Below are 21,125 nucleotides of genomic sequence, written 5' to 3'. Positions count from 1 at the left end.
GAATTACCTTCTTTTGCTTCAAAAATATACAATATTCAATGTTTCTCACTAGTTTATCAGATACACCCTTTAGGGTAGAGAAGAGTGATTTCATTTTAGGCACCCAACCAAAACAGAATAATTTATTCCTTTAAAAAGAAACTTTCACTAAAGTTAAAAGTATGAGAATACATAGAACATATATGTAGACACATGAACATAAGGATAACAGTTATCAACTTTTCAAAATAAAGCTTCATCTCTGTAAAAAGTTGTGAAGGAAAATCCATCATAATTTCAATATGACAGCTTTACTTTTTCAAATTTAATTTTTAAGCTGTCCTTCACTTTTCTTCCAACAACTGTCATTTTGAAAGTCAATTCCAAAACATCTTTAAGTTGGAAACTATAGGAAAAAAGCAAGAGCCTTTCAGCAGAGATCAAAAGACAGTTGAAGATCCCAAAACAGAGCAAGACTTTTGCCTTGGGTTGATTTCTAATCTTGAGAATCTTCATGGGATTCTCAACAAGGTAGAATTATCTGTCAGTCATTTACATTCACTTATTCAAGCCAAGCAATCATATATCTAGCTGCACCATTTGCACACATGTTTAATGCCATCTTGACATTCAAATGAGGGATATTGAGGTTCCCACTGCCTGCGTCCACAATATGGTGGGCTCAGTTTCAAAAGATAGAAAATATGCTATTGCAAAATCAACATATGGTTCCTGCATAATATAGATCTGCTTGAACATTGCAATGAGCATATGGTAAAAGAATTTTGTAGACAAGGTGGTAGAGTCAAGGGCAAGAAGCTGACTTTGGTGCTGACTGCCTTTCTATTTTCTATTGTAGAAGAAAGTCAAGAAATAATTTGATCTTAAACACACATACACACTAACTGACAGAAAATAAATCAGTGTATCTATTCCATTGCAGGGTGACATCCTACTTTCTTATTCCTTATTCAGAAATATCAGAAAGAAATAAGAAATACGTATAGCTCTTGATAAACTAAGGCATTTTAGACATTGTACTTCTAGTACGTTATTCAAGTTGGCATAGTAAACACTCTTTGGGGTATCTCTACAATTCAAGAGTCATCTGCTTTTCTTCAATAACTGAACTATGAGCCATAGTTTGATTCTCCACCAACCATCATTAAATTTAAACTGTGATCCCATCCCCTGACCATACCTGATTACCCAAGCTGAGACAGTCTAATTCTCTCTCTTAGAATTGTGACTGAGCAAGAGAGGGTCATTCATTTCTGAGCATCACTGGCACTGATATGGAAACCTGGAATGTCTGGGGTGGTCAGGAATTTCCTAAATAAAATAAAATAAATTCCCTAAATAAAATAAAGTTCCTAAATAAATAAAGGGAGAGAGAAAGGGAGGGAAGGAGGGACAGTGGGGGGGAGAGAGAGAGAGAGAGAGAGATTTATAGGTGTTCTAGTCTTTGCCTAAGACTTAAACTAGCTGGCCTTTATATTCCATTATATACTATTTTGTTTTTAGAATCCATTTCCCTTTTTACTTAACTAGTCTTCTTCTGATTGCAAATTAATATAGTGTATTGGTAGCCTATGAAGGAATAAATTATAAATACCAAGATGGAGGAGAAAAGAGGGTAAAGTTGAAAGTTTTGAGGATTATCTTCCTCTTTTACCACTATTATATATTGCTCTCTAACTTTAAATTAAATTTGCTTCTCCAAATTTCAGCCTTTTCACTTTGCTTCTTCAGCCTTTTCACTAATATAAAAAGACAGCTGGATTGGAGCACGTGGCCCATCCACTGCTGGGGAAAAAAATGCTTGAATCCTCAATACCTTTGATTCACTAGTTTGTGGTGGTGAAAATGTAGCTTTTATAGCATGTACTAGAGAACTAAGTTGAATTTCTTATGGTTATCTCTTCCCATCCTTCATCTACAGAATATTTCTAATTAGAGTTTTTTTCTGAGGAAATATGAGCCATTAATAGGTAGATATTAATCTACACAAAAACTTTATTTATTTTTGTGAAGTTGGTGGGCTTTTATTCTTCCCTCCAGGAATGTGACACATTTTATAGTTTTGGTTGGGTTTGTTTTTGTATGTGTGTTGTTATTGTCTTTGTTGTTTTATATCTATCACAACAGAAGCTTATAGTGTGCACCTTCCTAAAATATATAACATAATTTCAGAAACAATGAAAATAACTATCATGTGTTTGCTGAATAACTTCAAACTATATTTCCTTAGTTGTTTGTTCATTCTATTTTCATTCCAATGCATGATGCAAAGTACTTCATTTCTAAAACAAAGCATTATCTTTTTAAATACATGGCTACAATTCTTTGTCTTATAAGTTTATCTTTTGGCTCAGAAAAATATTTTGCCATAAATTGTATTGGCTACCAAAGTATTATGAAAATATATACAACCAGCTCTTCTGCATGTGATCAATAGACAAAATTCAAGATTACACCTTTTTTTTTGCCTTCAAGTCTAACTTTTTCTAACTACAAGTTACTCTGGAACATTTTATAAGAACACCATTTGGACAGTTATTTTTGTCTGACCCTTCAATTATTGCTTCTAGGCAGCTTTTTCATCTTGGCAGCAACTTACTCTATACAGAACCAGCACCTGATATTTCTTTTAAGATGAAAATCCAGACTCTTCACACAGGAATAAAGTTAGGAGGAAGATGGAAACTGACATTCCCCAGAGAACATGGCTCCAAACCAAGTCATTAAAAGTGGGACGTGGCCTGATTCATTTCCTTCAAATAAATGATCCATTGAGACATGAGCCAACTTGTCATACTTGGATTGCAATAAATATTTCCCAAGGAATAATGCCCTAAAATAAAATATACATTAATGGTATGTGGATATACTCAGTGAGGAAGTATTGATATAGTTCCTTCTCCCCATCACTACTGCTTTGCTCAATCTGGACCTGAATATTTGCAATAGCTTCCTTGCTAATCATTCACTATATCATTGCCAGTAGGGACTGCTACAAAGCACATTTGATCATGTTTATCTCCCTTGATTCTAACCATGGAGTGTCACCTTCCTGGTTATTGGAGAAATCTATAGCAGCTTCATTAAACCAGAGTGACACTCTACAGATTTTAGGAGCTCAAAAACTGTCCCAGTCAGTTCTAAAAGTGCAAAATCCTTGAGTGGTTCTTATACAAGCAAAGCAAGATATTCAAAAGTCCAGTTTTCCTTCTTTCAAGGATCTTTCTTTCCTTCCTTATATGTTCCCGGGGTTCTTTAGTACTCGTAAGCATGTTGAGTGATAAAGAAAAGCTCCACTGGATCAGTCCAATCTCGTTACACTGAGTGTGGTTAATAAATGCTAGAGGCTCTGTGCAAACTAACTTAATAATTTGAGTCCCAAGTAAAGAAAATGACTGAATCCCATTTTCCATAGCAGTCACTTGTACTAAGGCAGTGTCATTATCTATAATGACAAATATTAAAGACAAAGATGCCCATTCCCCAGTGGTTTGCTTAGTGGACGGGCTCCAGCCAAGCTAGCTGAAGTCCTTTGATTTAAAATTCTTTTCACTTCATTCACCTCATGTGGAGGAGGTGGCAGAGATAATCAGCTATTGTGGACAAGTGGTGCTTGCATCTGTGTGGTTCAGGAATGGTGAGTCTTTGTGGCAGAACAAAGAGAAAGATTAGTTTTTTCTTCAGAAAATTTGCACTATATGAAAATGAGAGACTTCTCAAAATGATAAAACTGACCTTAAAGTTTTGGTCCAACATTCACTAGTGGAGGAGGTCATTTCTCTTCTGCAGCTATCATCAGTGTTGAAGCCAAGCTCATTTGTAACAGTAATTGGGGGAGCAATTACTTGCCAACAACAAGGTCAGTTATAGGCTGTCAGAAAGTACTGTAGATCTCTAAATCTATTTTTTTGTCATGAAATTACCTCCTGCCATGCAAATCAGCCCCACAAATGCTGGTAGGACTGAGACCAATGTCTACTACATCATATAAGTAGAACTACCAAGCTCAGTATTAAACTCCTCTCAGAATGGAACCTCCCCTTCCTCCCAGAAAGATTGGGACTTTTCGCTGTTTATTTACCCTTCTGAGTGCAACAAACTGCAGTGGTTCTAAGGTGATATCTAGGCCCCATCTAATTTTTAGCAAGAGATGCCAATATCTACTGCTAAAGAAGAGAGCAAAAGCAAACCAAAGTAATAAAATTGTGGTAATAATAACACGAACATGGTACACAATATATTTTAAGAGCTTGCCTCAACCTACATCATGACCTTTACCTCTTGTCAATCCTCCAGTTTAATTCTACTTTTAGTAATTGCATTATCTATAATTTCTCAGATAATTCCATTATTTATCAGAATTGCTGCTACTGCTACCTGGAATGCCTTTACTCACTTCAGTTCCAATGGATGACATCTCATTTTTCAGGAGCCTGTTGAAGGATACTTTTAGCTTTTGCTGAAGTCCAAGCAGATCTGAACACATTTCTTTATTTTCTACTTTTCCATGGCCTCTGTCAATGCACTTTTGTTTTATTGCAACTATTTAACTACATGTCTACAAATTCTATTTGATAGGAACTTTTTAAGGCAGGGAATGTATCTAATTTATCTCACTATGTCTTTTGTCAAAACAGTGCCTGAAATGTAATGAATCTTTAAAAAGAAATGTTTATTCAACCAAATACTTCTCATTGATTCCAAATGGTTGAAATGGGGAGACCTTAAGGATAATTGATACTCTAATTGTATGTAATTATCTACATATAAGGTTTAAACTACTTGAAACATAATTTTACATTTTATTAACATGAGGCATGCACTCCAGCATATTGTGGGCTTTGGGCGAACACATTATCTTCCATGCCATAAATGGGGTTGAAAACAATTCCCACTACTATTGTCTGAGGTCTATACCCTCAGTTATTTATACCATATGTGGGGAGGACTAAGTCCGTTAAGAGCACTATCTCCATTGTCCCTTTTTATTTCTAGCCCCTCATCTGCTGACTCCTTGTATTCTTTGTATTGTTGAGAAAACTACGTATTCCCCATTCATCATGTTTCCTTGGGAAGAAACACAGCACACCCAACCATACTCCCAGTATCCCCTCCACATTTCCTCTTCCTTGGAGAAGAGACGTAAAGCACATATCTGATGAGTAGGTTTGGCAGTGGTCACTGGGATTGTGTGGCTCAGTCCCTGATGAATTATCTCTAGTCTGCTCTCCGAAATGCAGAAAGCATCATGCAGCTGTCCAGCAGAGCCAGGAGCTGGTTAGGTAAGTCTGCCTAATTCAGGGATAAAGCGTTAGTAAAATCCTTTTGGGTGTAGCTAGAAACTTTGTCTTTCATTCTAGGTTTGGTTCTGTTAAAAACAACAACAGCAATAAAAACACATAAGTGGGAGGCCATTAGGCTAAAGCTGCTCTAGTGCCCAGTGTTCTTACATAAGCAAACTAAAACCAGTGTAAATGGTAAAACAAAACTTGAGCTTAATCGAAAAACATCAACTAACTTTTCACTGAAGACTTTCCACTGGAATGCTCCAAATGAGGCTTCTGCAAAAGTGTTCTTTGTCTTGCACCTGTGTTCACCTTGTAAAATCCTTTCCCTAACACCCTCGCCCCCACACCCTTTTGTTACAGCCCAGAAACTGCTTGTGGTCTGGAGCTGCCTGATTTATAAACTGCTGTCTCCTCCAACTTTTTAAAATTTTAATGTGCTTATGTTTATCTTTTAACAGTTCATAATATAGGCATTTTTGTTAAATCACTGCATACTTCTTGTGTCTGTCTTTTGATTAGTTTTGAATTCTGAAGAGGAAAATTGACTGTAATTCACTGACCCTTCCCTCCAAAACCCTAACACTTATTCCATAGTGCTCATAGTGAAGCAGTTTTCTTTGGTTTCTGCTCACTATTTTGGTTGTAGCCTACTCTCTCTAAACTCGAGCACCAGAGAATGACAACTCTGTAGTCTGCCTCTCAGTTTAATCTGACCCACTGACACTGAGCCAAACCTTCACACAGATTTCCTTTCCCCCAAGAGATACTTGATCATCCATAAACAAAACACTGAAAGTTTTATTTGCAAATTTGCTACACTTGCCTAAATCTATATGAATCCTCTGGTTATCTGCCTAGTATTCTACTGGTGTTTTCACCTAAATAAATAAATCTATAGAATCTGTCAAAATCCTTCCAAATATTTGATGTTTGGCTGAAGGAAGTGACAAATTCATTTTCTTTTGTGAAAAAGGCTTAGTTCATTATCAGTAATGAATGATTATAAGATCAGTTTATAAGATGTCCATATGCTGAGTACCTTAGTAATAGAGAGGGCAATCAGTGTTTATCTTCCCCTCCATATTTGGACCTTTTTGACCAAATAAACCAGTCATTGGTAAGTCTGATAACCAGTGGTGCAAACCCATTTCCTTAGTTTAGAGCCTCACTTTGGCATAAATTTTCATAGAATGGACAGCCTAACCTGAATAATTTTAGCCTCCCCCCTATGGCCATGGAGTACATTAAATAGTCCCTAAAGCATTGCCTTCTTTTCTTTTATGGAAGGTTTTAGTCTTCACCAAACCTGCTAATATATAGCTCTCAGTCTCATAACCCTCATCTCCCTCTAGCTATGAGTGATTTCATTAATGCAGCTCCTCCTATCATGGTTGCTCATGGAAACACCAATGATCAGGTTGGTGGTTTTTCAGAGTGGAGTTACTATCATTTCCCAAACACTGAAAACTCCACTGAACATTTGGTGGTAGAGAGAAACTGTGCACTTCCTTGGGGAAAAGTAAAGCCCTTTCATTTTTGGCTTCTTTTAGGACTTCCAAATGTGCCTCCCTTCAGTTGCCTTGGTGATTTCCTTGCTCATCTGTCATCACAGGTGGCCCTTACTTTTCACCTGTTTTCTTTCTCTCCATTGCTTTGGAGCGACTTGACTGGTGATGATAGAAACACAAGACAAGAGGCTTCAGAGGTCACACATGACTGTAGGACAAGGGTGATGGAAAACTTTTCAGTGAGAAACTTCACTTCAGTGAGTATATTTGCAGGAGGACAGAAGGGCAGTCGAGTGACTTTTGATCACATCACACTGCTTCCTAAGCCTGGTGGTTGATTATAATTTGTGTAGTGAAGAGAAAGCGGCTGTCTGTATTGAAAGAAAATACAAGTACTGGGGACAAGTATTCTAGGTTGCTTTTGGACTTGATTTCAAGGTTTTCCACATCAACATAACCCATTCAATTTTATTTTATTTTTTTACTTGTGAAGACAGCCCTCCACTTCACAGATGTATTCTCTCCTGAAAGCAGCTTCTAAAATAGCATGCCACTCTTTACTCACAATGAATGCCTAGTGCCCTTCAGCCCCTAAGATAAAACTTAACAGTTACGCCAAGCATATTTCCCTCCTTCATTCTGCTGGGAAGCCTTCCTCAGGTTGGTACTGCTTTCTCTCCCTTTTGCTTGGGCAGTGACTAGGAAGAAGCATTCATTACACAGATTTTCAAACTGTAATCTAGCCTTCCTTTTATCATCTGTCATTGCTTCTGTTGCACAATAATGTCACATGAACCATATTTAGCATACTTACCTGGCTTTTACATTTTTAATTTTGGTGGGTTTTGGAAAGCAAAGGCATTGCTCTCTGACAATGTGCAATGGTGTATGAGCTGTCTCTTTACCTGGATGCCTTTGCCTTCCAGGTCAAGGATTTGGAAGATTTTTGTGAAGAAGAATGAAGAAATGTTTTAATAAGGTTGCCTGTGAATGTCCTTGGCTAGTCTTTTGCTGCCTTAATCAATTTGAAGTATCTTTGTATGTAATTCATTTGCTCCTCCATCTTACAGTGCATTCAACACTGATCCTACTTCTACTTGTGTGAAAGTCACTTCTTTGGCCCACAAAACATCCCTTTCTTATTAGTTTTGTTTTATTTGTTGGCATATATTATTATCCAGTACTTTGCTTCAAATTGACTCAGATTGGGAACTAGTCTAGAATCTTGCTTGTTCTCACCTGTGAGTGAAAACTCAATCCCAGATAAGGTCTTTCTGTTTTGAGGTGAACAAAACATGGAGCACACTGAAAAAAAATAAGGTTTAATGCAGGGGATGTGCACTAGAATCAGTATGTCAGGGTCCTAGTTGGAGCCTCAAACTAGAAATATGGTGACCTTGGTTAACCATTTCACCTGTCTCCTGAGCCCCAGAATTCTCCTGTATAAAATAAGAATGTTGGACGACATGGTTTCAAATGGTTATTCTGATTCTAGTTATCTTAGTTTCTAAGCATCTTTGTGGCTAGTGTGGCAAAGAACATTAATTTATTATAAATCAAGATTACCTTTGCAGAATAATAAAATTCCTTCATATGCTGACTGCTTTTCTGTAATATAGATTTTATTATCATGTGAGCCAAGTTGTCTCACAAGTATATAAAACACTGTGCTGTCTCTAACATTCCAACAAAACCAAGCTCTAACATATTTATGTCTGTTATCTCATCATTCTTCGTATACTCTCTTTCACGTAAAGATTCTTCACATTGGTTTCTTATGACTTTCAGGAGAAAGATATCAGATTATCTAATTTAGGCAAAGGAGATGGGGAAAAATAAATTCTTAATACAGGTTTTTTTCAAGCAGTTAAATAAGATCTTATGTTCCAGGTTTTACATAAATTCTACAGGTCGAAGTTCCATTATTTTTCAAGCAGTAATTTTATAAAGACTTACAATATGTTGTTGGTTACCAAACTCCCCCAAAATAAATAATCCTATAGAAATTTCTACTATGTATGGCATTGTATCTGAGAAAAGTTTTAGAAATCTCAAAATTCTCCTCCAGGCATTATCAGATATAAATTCAGATGATTATAGAAAAAGAAAGGAATGAGTAGGCAGTTCCATCCCAACCCCAACTACCTCTAGAAGGATTAAGAACAATAAAGGAAGGTGAGAATAATATAAAAACCTTAGGATTTCACTGTTGTTCCTCTAAGTAAGAAAGTTATATGTCTGGAATTATGGTGGAGCACAGAAAGCAAAGCCCTAAAACTGGAAAACACAAAACAAAACAAAGCATTAATTCTGGATAGAGTACTGGACTTGGAAAAATATCATTCAGTACATATGATATCTATAACAAGCCAAGACAGTTCAAACTGAAGGAAAAAGGGTGCCCAAAATATTTCTAGTGAAAGTGTCAATAAATGGAAAACAACACGACATTGCTACTATTAATGGGTTAACGTGTGTTAACGGCATTAAAAATCTTCCCAGTTTTCTATATATTTGACTTTATTCTAATAAACAAACAAAAATATTTGATAGATTCTCAATTCCAGTGGCCCTAACTTTATTTTTTCCTACAGGTTTTAAAAAATCAAGGTTGGAAATGGAAGTTCTTGTTTTTAAAACAACAATGATGTGTGTGTTTGCCTTTTGAATTTTCTGTTGTGGCTTTTTTGGAGGGTGGCAGGTGGCATGGGAGCTATTTGATTGCTTGGGTACTCCCAAGAATGAGATATTTTTCTTTTCTCGAACAGGGGAACATAAAGGTTAAATGACTTGTCTGTGACTTCTCACAAAGCTAAAGAATGGTAAAGATGGGAACGACACCAAATCTTGCAGCGTCCCAAACCTTCAGTGGATACCTATGTTTCTCCCACTGTCATTTAAAACTTAAAAAATAAATTTACTTCAAATTTAGAATAACCAAAACAGCTTTGCCCCCACTTTTGCCACATAGCCTCTTTACAATGTGTTTTAAAATCATCTGCCAGCTGTGTTACAGTGAAAATTATACTGTTCTTTGACTAGAAGTCCTGAATCTAAATCACAGCTATGCTACTAAGGCCCATGAGCTCTTGGTCAAGACATTTAAACAAAGTTTTGTTTATTTATCTGCAGAACGGTAATCAGAATATCACCACCACCCCCAGCCCCTGAGACTGGTGAATGTTGAATTAAATAATCTGTTTGAGAACACTTTTAAACTATAGATTATCACTAATAATTTATTCTGCATGCTTAAGTTGTTCTGTTTCACAACACTTCACTGGTTTCCTGTTGCTTATGGAGTAACATTTACACTCCTATGAAAGGCATTCAAAGTCCTCTTTGACATTCATTTTCAATCTTTTTATCTGCTAATGATAATAGCTGACATGTGTTGAGCAAATACTCTGTGCCGGGGATATACTGAACATTTATTATCCCATGTAAACCCTACATCAATCCTGTGATGAAACATCATTATTATCCCAATTTTATAGTTATCAATACTTGGAAAACTGAAGAAATTTGCCCAACTTCACACAGAGAATAAGGAATGGTGGAGCAGGGAGTCAAATTCTGGCTGTTTGGTTCCAGAGTAGACTTAACTACCATGTGGTACCTCTTCCAAATACAGCATTTTTCTCAAACATCTCTCTCTCTACCATTATTACGCTCAACTCTATAGCAAATACCTTACCATGCTATTTAAAAAAATCATTGTTTAGAACTCACATTAAGGTTGGACAATTACAGTTGACTGCCTTGACTGGATGGGTAGTGATCAAGAGTGTAGTGTCTGGAAGCAGATGGCCTGGGCTCAAACTGGTTCTGCCACAAACCAGCAGCATGGTCCTGGAGTTATTTCACTTCTGTTCTCTCATCCTTAAAGGGGGATAATAATGAATCCTACTTCAGAGTGTTGGTATAATAAATAAATAAGTGAATAAATATATGTGCAGTTCTTAGCATGGTGACTGGCACGTAGATAATACTATACAAATGGTAGAGGTTATTGTTACCATTGAGGTTCCATTCCATGTTATGTCCATGACAGTTCTGTTTGGCATTGGACTTCACATCACAAAAGAATCTGCCTGTCTTCCTCTTTCACATAATCAGTTGACCTTGTGTGTTCAGATCTCAGCCCAAATGTTGCTTCACTAATGAATCTATCTTTGATGTGCCTGCCATGCCCCCTATTTTTTTTGCCTCCCACTAATTTAAGCCCTCCTAAGACACTCATAGTCCACTCTGATGTCTAGGAGCATTTATCACAATTTTACTTAAATAATGAATTGGGCTATTAGTCTTAGAATCTCTGCACCTCTCGCTAAAATGTGCTGTGAAGGCAGAGGCCATGCCCACTTGTTTATCTTGCACAGCAAACAGAAAGTGCTTAATAAGAATCTATTGAATTAATTAATAATGAATGAATGAATCACCTGTTTCTTTGTTTCTTTATATACTGTCTCATGGTTTGAAGATTTTTTTTTGTCTCTTTCCCCATGAATCATGTATTTTCAAACTTCCTGGCCAACACTCATTGACTAACAATATTTATAGGAATTTCCCATAGTTATATCTGTGCCATGACAACTAAATTACCAGCTTCGTCCTCCTTAAATATTAGATTTATGAAATACAAGTACCTTAATCGCCCAAAGAAAACAAGGCATAGACATCTTTTCATGTTTTGCACACTGCTTTTAAACCGCATTTTGAATGTGTTTCTTGAAAATTTGCATAATCATTCATGAATCTCTTTTCATTTGAATACTACAGTAATGACAACTTAAGATATATTGTTTGTTGTTTATTCAAAATGGATTTCAATTATCAAAGTAGATTTTTATGCATGCACCTGTTTCTATATTTGCTATAGATTCAATTAGTAATATGATCACGTATGCTGATTCGGTTTCAGAATTATGATTTGAAATATACCATGGTAACTTCTGCAATATTAGGAACAATGTTTTTATCCTGTTAAGTTATCTTGGATGGATTTTGAAAACTTGAAATCTTAAGTATGTGCCACACTGATTTGTCAATGTTTATCCTGAATATAGTTTAATACAGCAAGGCTTCAAAACATTATGGAAATAAGGTTGGCTGAGCACCAATTCTAACCAAAGGTGAACTAAAACCCTGGGGAAATCTCTCTCTTCCCATAAGCTGAAATCATATGAAAGTAGTGCCTTCATTGTGCCCCAACATAAAAAAATTATTTTATAATGAATAAGTTGTATTCTATACATCATTTAATTACACCATCCGAGTGATGCCTAGAAAAAAAAATAGCTTCTTCATTTTAGAGTATTATGAAGTTATGATCTCAGAAAACCAGTTCCATCTCTATCCCTTAGCAGTTGGGTAAACCTACGTGGGTTATATAACCTCTTGAATCCTTCCCAGTCTGTAAAATGAGGATACTACTAGTTCATGTCTCACACAGATGCTGTGAGGATTCAGTGATATAGTACCTGGAAGAGTTTAGCACAGATAGTAGTAAATGCTCAATGAATATTAATTACCATTTTATTGCTGTTGTTATTATATTGTTTGTGTCATTCACGTGGGCGCTTGCTATTTATTCTTTTCACTTGTATAAGTTTATTCTTCTCTATACAACATGGATCTTGATAGCTGGCTGGCAGTGTTGTTTTCTTTAACATTCTTATTACCTTACACATAGTAAATGATCACAAAACAAAGACAGAAAGGAATGTGGGGGAATCATCATACTGCCAGAATAAAGAGTAAGTGGCAGGAGGGATGGAGAGAAGTAATGCATATGAGGCTTCATCATACTGATTAGTTTGGATATTTCTATAATAATATTTGTTACTTCTATCAGTGTACAATATTATTATTATTATAAGTACTTCACTGTACCCATACAGTTGTAAAAGTATACATCATTGATTGGTCTATTGAGCCATTGACAAACACTTTCCTTTCGGGTGTGACTGGTGCTTCTGAGAACATATATCTTTCCTTATGGTTTGATGAAAAAGAGCTGAGAAAATTGAATTCTGTTTTCTTTGAAAGTATAAAGAAGGAAATCTTAATTTTGAAAAAGAGTAAAAAGAATCCCATTATCATTCAACTTTTTCAGAATAGCCAAATCCTGGAAAAGTATGATGCTAAAGGAAATACAAGATACCTTGCTGCATGCTTAGGAAAAAGATAATTGATGGCTTAATATCATCCAACCTGTAGTCAGATAATTGGCTATAAAATGAGTTTTTACTTCATTTCCATGGACTCTAAACACCTCACTTTATGACATTTAATTTATCACACATTTATTACACACAAGTAGCCTCTAACATCTACAAAGGACACATCTATAAAGACATATTTAGGCTCACCAATGTCAGGGCTAATCTCTTTAAGTACTCCCTCTTTTGTTGTATTTTGCATTGACATGCTTAGTAAATTTTAGTGGTTTGGACCCACCATCTGTGCATAACCCAAATGTGATAAGCTGTATAATGCACACCTACAACCTAAGGGTAAGAAATGTGATGTTGTAAGATTAGATGGTTAGACTGACTTTAAAAAAGGGTAAAACATAGCCAACTAAAAATATGATAAGAAAATGTGAAAATCAGAGAGTCATGCAAAACAATGCTTCATATACAGCACTGAAAATTTTCAGGTATATACAATGTAGTAAAAATTGAACTAAACTGGTTTGAGAAAAGGTTCAAGAATTCAGTCCAGGTTCCACTAGTGACTCAAAACATGACTTATGAATATTCCTTGCAACGTTTGTTCACCTACCTAAAAAGAATAAATGTTCTTGGAAGCATGGAATAAACCACATAACAGTCATTGGGTATATTAAGTGCATTTGGGAGGCCTTTAGGGTTCAAGGGTTTTTAAATTCTCAATGTAATACAAAATCCAAAAAATAATTTTTTTTCTGCTAGTCTAGTTGAGTAATCTAAGTATTCATCTCACAGTAAATACCCAGATTATTTTTCTACAGTTATCTAAAGTTCATTATATGAAGACACTTTCTCATTTTCCTGATAAAATTCATTTTTATCAACTATCACAAAGTATGAATTTCTATATCCTCTGCAGTCTCAACACCAAAGCAATGTTATTTCCAACTAGTCATAGACTGAGGATGGAAAACAGATTAGTGGTAGAAGAGAGAAGGGCTTTTGCTGTGAAATTTATTATCTTAAATGCCAGTGGTTTAGTTTCCAGATAGCTTGAGTATGATGTGATTTATTATGTTCAGTACCAGGAGGAGTGTAGAGATTTCACTAAATGCAGGGAGATAAGGCAGAAAACAATAACTAAAATAACCACTGAAACTCAAACAGTAATGGAGGATTACCAGTGCCAAAGAGAGAAATGCAGTGGACAGATCAGTTACTATAAGAATAATTTTGGTATTTTTTTGCCACTGTATCTGTTTCAAATCAAAAGGGGGCAGGGCTGAGCTTCATTAATAACTTCGATATATTTTGGTTGTGTCCTCACCCAAATCTCATCTTGAATTGTAGTTCCCATAATCCCCAAGTATTGTGGGAGGGATCTGGTGGGAGGTAATTGAATCGTGGGGGCAGTTACCCTCATGCTGTTCTCATGGTAGTGAGTGAGTTCTTTCATGAGATCTGATAGTTTTACAAGGGGCTTTTCCCCTTTTGCTCAGCACTTCTGCTTCCTGCTGACATGTGAAGAAGGAAGTGTTTGCTTCCCCTTCCACCACGATTATAAGTTTCCTGAGGCCTCCCCAGCCATGCTGAACTGTTAGTCAATTAAACCTCTTGCATTTCTAAATTGCCATCTTGGGTATGTCTTTATTCTTAGCATGAAAATGGATTAATACAAACTTCAAGTGTTCTTCAAAGTTCAAATAATATGATTCTGAATATGTGAAAAGAAGAATGGGAAAATTTTCAGCTATCTGCATACAAACATTATAATGGCTGGCATTAGCATTTTACTAAAGTATAGATTCATTTCTTGTAATGAAGGCCAAAATAGAAGTTCACGTCTCTCTCATATAGAGTCCAAAAATAAATGGTCTAGAAATGATATGAGTGTTTTACTGTATTAGAGACCAAGGGCCTTTATTTCTTCTTACTAAGGCATTACATATCTGCCAATCTTACATAACTTCTCTTTAGCTCCTGCTAAGCCATCCATATTCAGCCAACCACAGGGAAAAGATAATGGGAAAGGGAAAGGGAAAAGCGTGCTACTTTTTAAAAAGGCATAACCTAGAAGTTATGATTACTTTTAACTTATAACCCATTGGCCAGGACACAGGCACATTTAGATTCAAAGGAGGCTAGAAATTGTCTTTATAACTGTGCAGCCATATGCCTCACTAAAGTTCTGTTAGCTGTAGAAGAGGGGTAGAATATATATCTAAGGAGAAAAGATCAGTCTTTGCCATGGTCCGCTGCTTATCTCTCCTCTAAAAGTTCAAATCCCTTCTTCCCATGCATCAAACTGCAACATAAGGAGCCACAACAAGACCTGATAGAGAGGACTGCACATCACCCAGAGAGATGGACTTCGAGTTGGATGCAATTTTGTAATTGTCTTCCTTGTAGATAGAATGAATATTCCAAGGAAGACAATTCCAAAATTGATGTGCAGTTCACTTGATGTGGCTCAACAGATTTGGAATATTAAAACATAAGGGAAAATGATATTTTTTCTCCTATGTCAATATGTAGTGATGAAATAATAATGGCACAAGTGTATTAAAATATCTTTTCAAAAGAAGCATAGGAAATTAAGCAGTTACCAATCTGTAGCAACCATCAAATCCCACTAGGCAAGAGTCATGAAAAGTCTTTGTTTTGTCACTGAATTAGGTTCCTTGGTTTACTTATGGTAGCTCATTGTATTATAATACCCTCTGGAAATTGCTATTGTGGTTCTTGGTTTTGTCCTCTGGGAAACTTTTCTTCTCCTTATCCTTCATAATCAAAGCATTGAAAAGTGTGTTTTTAGAGGCTGGATAGTTTGTGCAGTCTGCGTGCCAGCGGTACAGGTATGAAGTCAGGGTTTTGCTTCAGGCTTTAAAAAAATCACAGGGTTTTTTAGGTGGTTTGTGTTTCTTTGGAAATACAACTCCGTAAAATATTTAGTAGGCTTCTAATCAATATCCTCTGCAACTAATCATAAGCAAAAATCTCATAAAAAGACACTTTTTATACTTGAACACACTGTTCTTTAATTTACTGGATTCTTTTACTCTACCTTTAATGGATTGAAAGGCGAACATCTTAATTTGATTTTTGCTCCTAAACTCACTTTCATTGTCTAACTGAAAATTCCTATAGGACCTGCCTGAGAAGGACTTGAGGACACAATCTTATCAACTGTTAAGGCTGCTTGTTCAGAGCAACCTGTTCTAACTAGCCTATGTTGCAAAGCTCACAAAAGAAGGCAACACATAGCAATATTCTAAGGGTTTCCATCCAATTCTATTAAAGTTACATAAGCTGTAATTTTAAATCTGCTTTCCAAGGTATTTGAGACACCAGCATAATGAAATATTTGTCTGCATAGTAAAGGTCTTCAACTATGTAGCTTGCAATAGCCATTTCCTTGCTGACTTTCAATAATCATGAAGAAAGGGCCACATATTTTAGATTTTTAATGTTAGCATTGCTCTTATAGGTAATATCTGTATTATTCAAATTTGTAAATGCTATTAATAAGGGACATTAAAGAATAGAGATATTTGTTTTTTCTAAGTTATTGGTCAGGTATAAAGCATTCCAAAATGAATACAGAAAAAGGATGAAATAATGAAAATAAAAAATATGTATTGAATAGAAAATAACTAAAAATAATAGGGAAGATCAACAAAGTCAAAAGTTGTTTCTTATAAATTGCTAATACTATTGACATCCCTCTGGTAAAATGGATTATATAAGACAGAGAAGAGAGGGATGACCAAATATCAGTATTTACTAGTTAGACGTAACAGGTGTTGCACATAATAAGAAGTAATAAGAACATGTAATGAAAAATGTCATAACAATAAATTTCAAACAAATGTTATGACTACATTTTTAGAAAAATTTACATCACATGCAAATTCAAGAAAAAGAAAAATTCATGCACCTATAACCATGAAAGAAATTGAATTAGTCAAAAATATTTCCACAGAGAAGTTAAGCCATAGGTAGATTTCAAGAGAATTCTGTCAAATATTTAAGAGAAAGAAGTTCAAATCTACACAATGTCTTCTAGAGGATAGCTAAAGAGAGAACATTACTCCACTCACATAATAAAGCTACCATTACCTTGGTACCAAACAGGACAATGAAATTTTGTGAATAAAAATAGCATACCAATTTCACTTGTGGACATAGATGAAAATAACATATGTTAGCAATATATGAGAAGTATAACATTTCACAACCTACTTGAGCATAACCCAAGAATGAACATTAGTTTAACATTAGAAAGTTACTCAGTGTAATCCTCCCTGATAAGCAAAAAATTCAGTCTGGTGGAGAGGCTACAGTTTTACTCCACAATAGAGAATTAGAGCCTCTCATCCAATTCTAAGATCTGAGCCAATTTAGAGACCTGCAATGTTTGGCACAAAGGGGAAGCCAGATCCTATTGCCATAGGTATATCCTGTAATTTTCTGTTTATCCTTCTGCTAAAAGACCTGCAAGGAATCACCAAATTGATTGAACCTAAGGAAGAGTGAAACACTCATTATTCTTTAATGGGATGTTAATTTAAAGCTGAAATAATCCAGAAAAACTGGAAATTCTCTGTGGCCTAGCCATCAGAGAGGACACTTATGGAAGTCAAGAGATAAGCATTTTGGCCAAAATCCATTGGACAATGGAACCAGTGAGTCTGTAAAATAACCTACTAATCATTTCCTCAATTCCTGGAAGCATCCAAGATGTACTCATCGATGGGATAATCCCCACATCGTTTTACTGACTCAAATAGTAAAGACTACTATGCTAGAAAGGGCAAGTAAAATACTCTGAATACTCTGAAAGAAACCCGTCTCTCTCTTTTTTTTTGTAACTGAGGCATGCTCTTTTATTTCCATATTATAAAAGTAATACATGAACGCATACTTATTTTCAAAAAGTAAAGAAAACATTATTGTATATAGAGGACTTCCCCCTTGCTCCACTACCCTTCCTAGCCTCTGGTAACTATTATTCTACTCTTTGTCTCAGCCAGTTAATTTTTTTATTTTTAGATTCCATGAATAATTGGGAACATACGTTTGTCTTTCTGTGCCTGGCTTGTTTCAATTAACGTAATGACCTCCAGTTCCATCTATGTTGTTGCAAATGACAGGATATCATTCTTTTTATGGATGAATACTACCCTGTTGTTTATAAGTACTACATTTTCTTTATCCATTCATCTGTTGATGGTCTTTTAGGTTGCTTCCAAATTGTGGCTACTGTGAACAGGGCTGCAACAAACATGAAAGTGCAGATACCTATTTGATACATTGATTTCCTTTCTTTTTAGTGTATGGCCAGTGGTGGGATTGCTGGATGATATGGTAGTTCTATTTTTAGTTTATTGATGAACCTCGAAATTGTTTTCCATAGTAGTTATACTAATTTACATTTCCACCAACAATGTCCAAGGGTTCCCTTTTCTCCATATCCTCTCCAGTATTTAATAGTGCCTGTCTTTGGATAAAAGCCATTTTAACTGAGGTAAGATAATATCTCCTTGTAGTTTTGATTTGCATTTCTTCGATGATCAAAGATGTTGAGCACGTTTTCATATGCCTGTTTGCCATTTGTATTTCTTCTTTTGAGAAATGTCTATTGAAACTTATGATGGTTAATACTGAGTGTCAACTTGATTGGGTTGAAGGATGCAAAGTATTAATCCTGAGTCTCTCTGTGAGGGTGTTGCCAAAGGAGATTAATATTTACGTCTGGGCTGGGGAAGGCAAATCCACTCTTAATCTGGGTGGGCACCATCTAATCAGCTGCCAGCAAATATAAAGCAGTTAGAACAACATGAAAAGGTGAGACTGGCCTAGTCTTCCAGCCTACATCTTTCTCCCATGCTGGATCCCTCCTGCTCTCGAACATCGGACTCCAGATTCTTCAGTTTTGGGACTCAGACTGGCTCTCCTTGTTCCTCAGCTTGCAGACAGCCTATTGTGGTACCTTGTGATAGTGTGAGTTAATACTTAATAAACCTCTATTCTATCCCTCTAGAGAACCCTCACTAATACAGATTTTGGTACCAGGAGTGGTTCCAGAGGAACAGAATATTAAGAATGGAGTTCTTTTGTTGGTTTTGGGGTTTCTGGAGTTGGCTGCTTAATATGATTAGACTCAAAAATATTAAGGGCTCTACTTCTAACAGTATAGAGAAGACAGTCCTTGCCATGAACTATTTAGAGAGTTATGCAAAATAAATGAATTTGACACTCCTGATTCACCACTCATGAGAGGGAAGGAGTTTAGTGAACCTATACGTAATACCTTTAACCATATGTGGAGAACCAACCAAGCTTGTTGGTTGCTAATAAAGTTCAGTGGACAAAGTGATGAAAGAAAAAGTTGAACTCAGGGATTCTATTTCCTGGCTTCAGAAGCGAATACTGAGCCTCAAATCTGCTAATATTGTTCTGAGTGAGAGTCTTATCTTCCATACAGAAAGAACTGAAATTGTGGAAAAGCAGACAGAAGCTCTTATCATGCGAGTGGCTAGCCTGCAATGAAAGATGCATGCACAGCCTTGCCAGGTATCTACGATTAAAGTGAAAGTATTGATTGGAAAAGAATGGGACCCTGCAACTTGGAATGGGGATGTGTTGGAGGACTCTGATGAAGCTGGGGACAGTGAGTTTGTAAACTCTGATGAACTTTTTTTGCCAGAAGAAACAACTTCCCCATTCCTAGTGATGGCAACATCCCCACCCCAACCCATGCTGCCATTAGCCCTTCCACCTTTGTCTGAGGAGATAAACCCTGCACTGCCTGAGGCAGCAGTGATGGCCTACCCTGAGGCAGTTGCCAGGCAAGATAATGTTGATTCTCCTCAAGAGCCACCCCTAATATCCCTGTTTGCTTCTAAACCTGTAACTAGATTAAAGTCTCAGCGGGCCCCTAGAGGTGAGATTGAGAGTGTGACCCATGAGGAGGTACATAACACTCGAAAAGAACTGCTTGAGTTTTCCAATTTATATAAACAGAAATCTGAAGAACAGGCATGGGAATGGATAGTAAGAGTGTGGGATAATGGTGGAAGGAACATAGAGTTTGATCATGCTGACTGTATTGATTTGGGCCCACTAAGTAGGGACTCAGCATTTAATGTTGCAGCTTGGGGAGTTAAAAAAGGTTCTAATAGTTTATTTGCTTGGTTAGCTGAAATATGGATTAAAAGATGGCCCACTGTGAGAGACCTGGAAATGCCTGATAGGGATGCTGTTTGTAGCCTTTGGCAGGCCCCCATAAGTGAATCACAGCGGAGGCCTCTAGGATTTTGGAGCAAGACCCTGCCATCTTCTGCAGGTAACTACTCTCCTTTTGAGAAAGAGCTCTTGGCCGGTTACTGGGCTTTGATGGAAACTGAACATTTGACTATGAGTCAGCAAGTCAGCATATGACCTGAACTGCCTATCATGAACTGAGTGCTTTCTGACCCATCTAGCCATAAAGTGGGTGATGCAGAGCAGCATTCCATCATCAAATGGAAGTGGTATATACATGATTGGGCTGGAGCAGGTCCTGAAGGCACAAGTACGTTACACAAGGAAGTGGCTCAAATGCCTGTGGTCTCCATTCCTGCCACCCTGCCTTCTCTCCCCTGGCCTGTGCTGATGACCTTATGAGGAGTTCTCTATGATCAGCTGACAGAGGAATAGAAACTAGGGCCTGGTCCACAGGTGGTTCTGCACGATATGCAGGCACCACCCAAGAGTGGACAGCTATAGCACTACAGCCCCTTTCTTTTTTTTTTTTTAATTCTTATACTTTAAGTTCTAGGGTGCATGTGCACAATGTGCAGGTTTCTTATATATGTATACATGTGCCATGTTGGTGTCCTGTACCCATTAACTCGTCATTTAACATTAGATATATCTCCTAATGTTAACCCTCCCCCTACCCCATGACAGGCCCTGGTGTGTGATGTTCCCCATCCTGTGTCCAAGTGTTCTCATTGTTCAATTCTCACCTATGAGTGAGAACATGCAGTGTTTGGTTTTCTGTCCTTGCCATAGTTTGCCCAGAATGACGGTTTCCAGCTTCATCCATGTCCCTACAAAGGACATGAACTCATCTGTTTTTATGGCTGCATAGTATTCCGTGGTGTATA

At 36.7% G+C, this 21,125-nt stretch overlaps 1 protein-coding gene across 3 annotated transcripts in view; it reads right to left on the bottom strand.

Annotated features, from left to right (window-relative positions):
- The window catches only part of LOC124906005 (uncharacterized), a 95,669-nt gene extending 91,191 nt beyond the window's left edge, over nucleotides 1-4,478 (bottom strand). For all 3 annotated transcript variants that reach the window (XR_007086317.1, XR_007086316.1, XM_047446571.1), the window contains exon 1: nucleotides 4,397-4,478. Coding sequence is in view for 1 of the 3 variants with exons in the window: in XM_047446571.1 (XP_047302527.1) it covers nucleotides 4,397-4,422 (26 nt within the window). In the remaining 2 variants the exon portion in view is untranslated. The remainder of the gene's footprint in view (nucleotides 1-4,396) is intronic.
- Nucleotides 4,479-21,125: the final 16,647 nt, after the last annotated feature.

Source organism: Homo sapiens, chromosome 2, assembly GCF_000001405.40.
Source record: "Homo sapiens chromosome 2, GRCh38.p14 Primary Assembly".
In the NCBI taxonomy this organism is placed as follows: Eukaryota; Metazoa; Chordata; class Mammalia; order Primates; family Hominidae; genus Homo; species Homo sapiens.
This window is presented reverse-complemented; position numbering and strand designations above follow the sequence as displayed.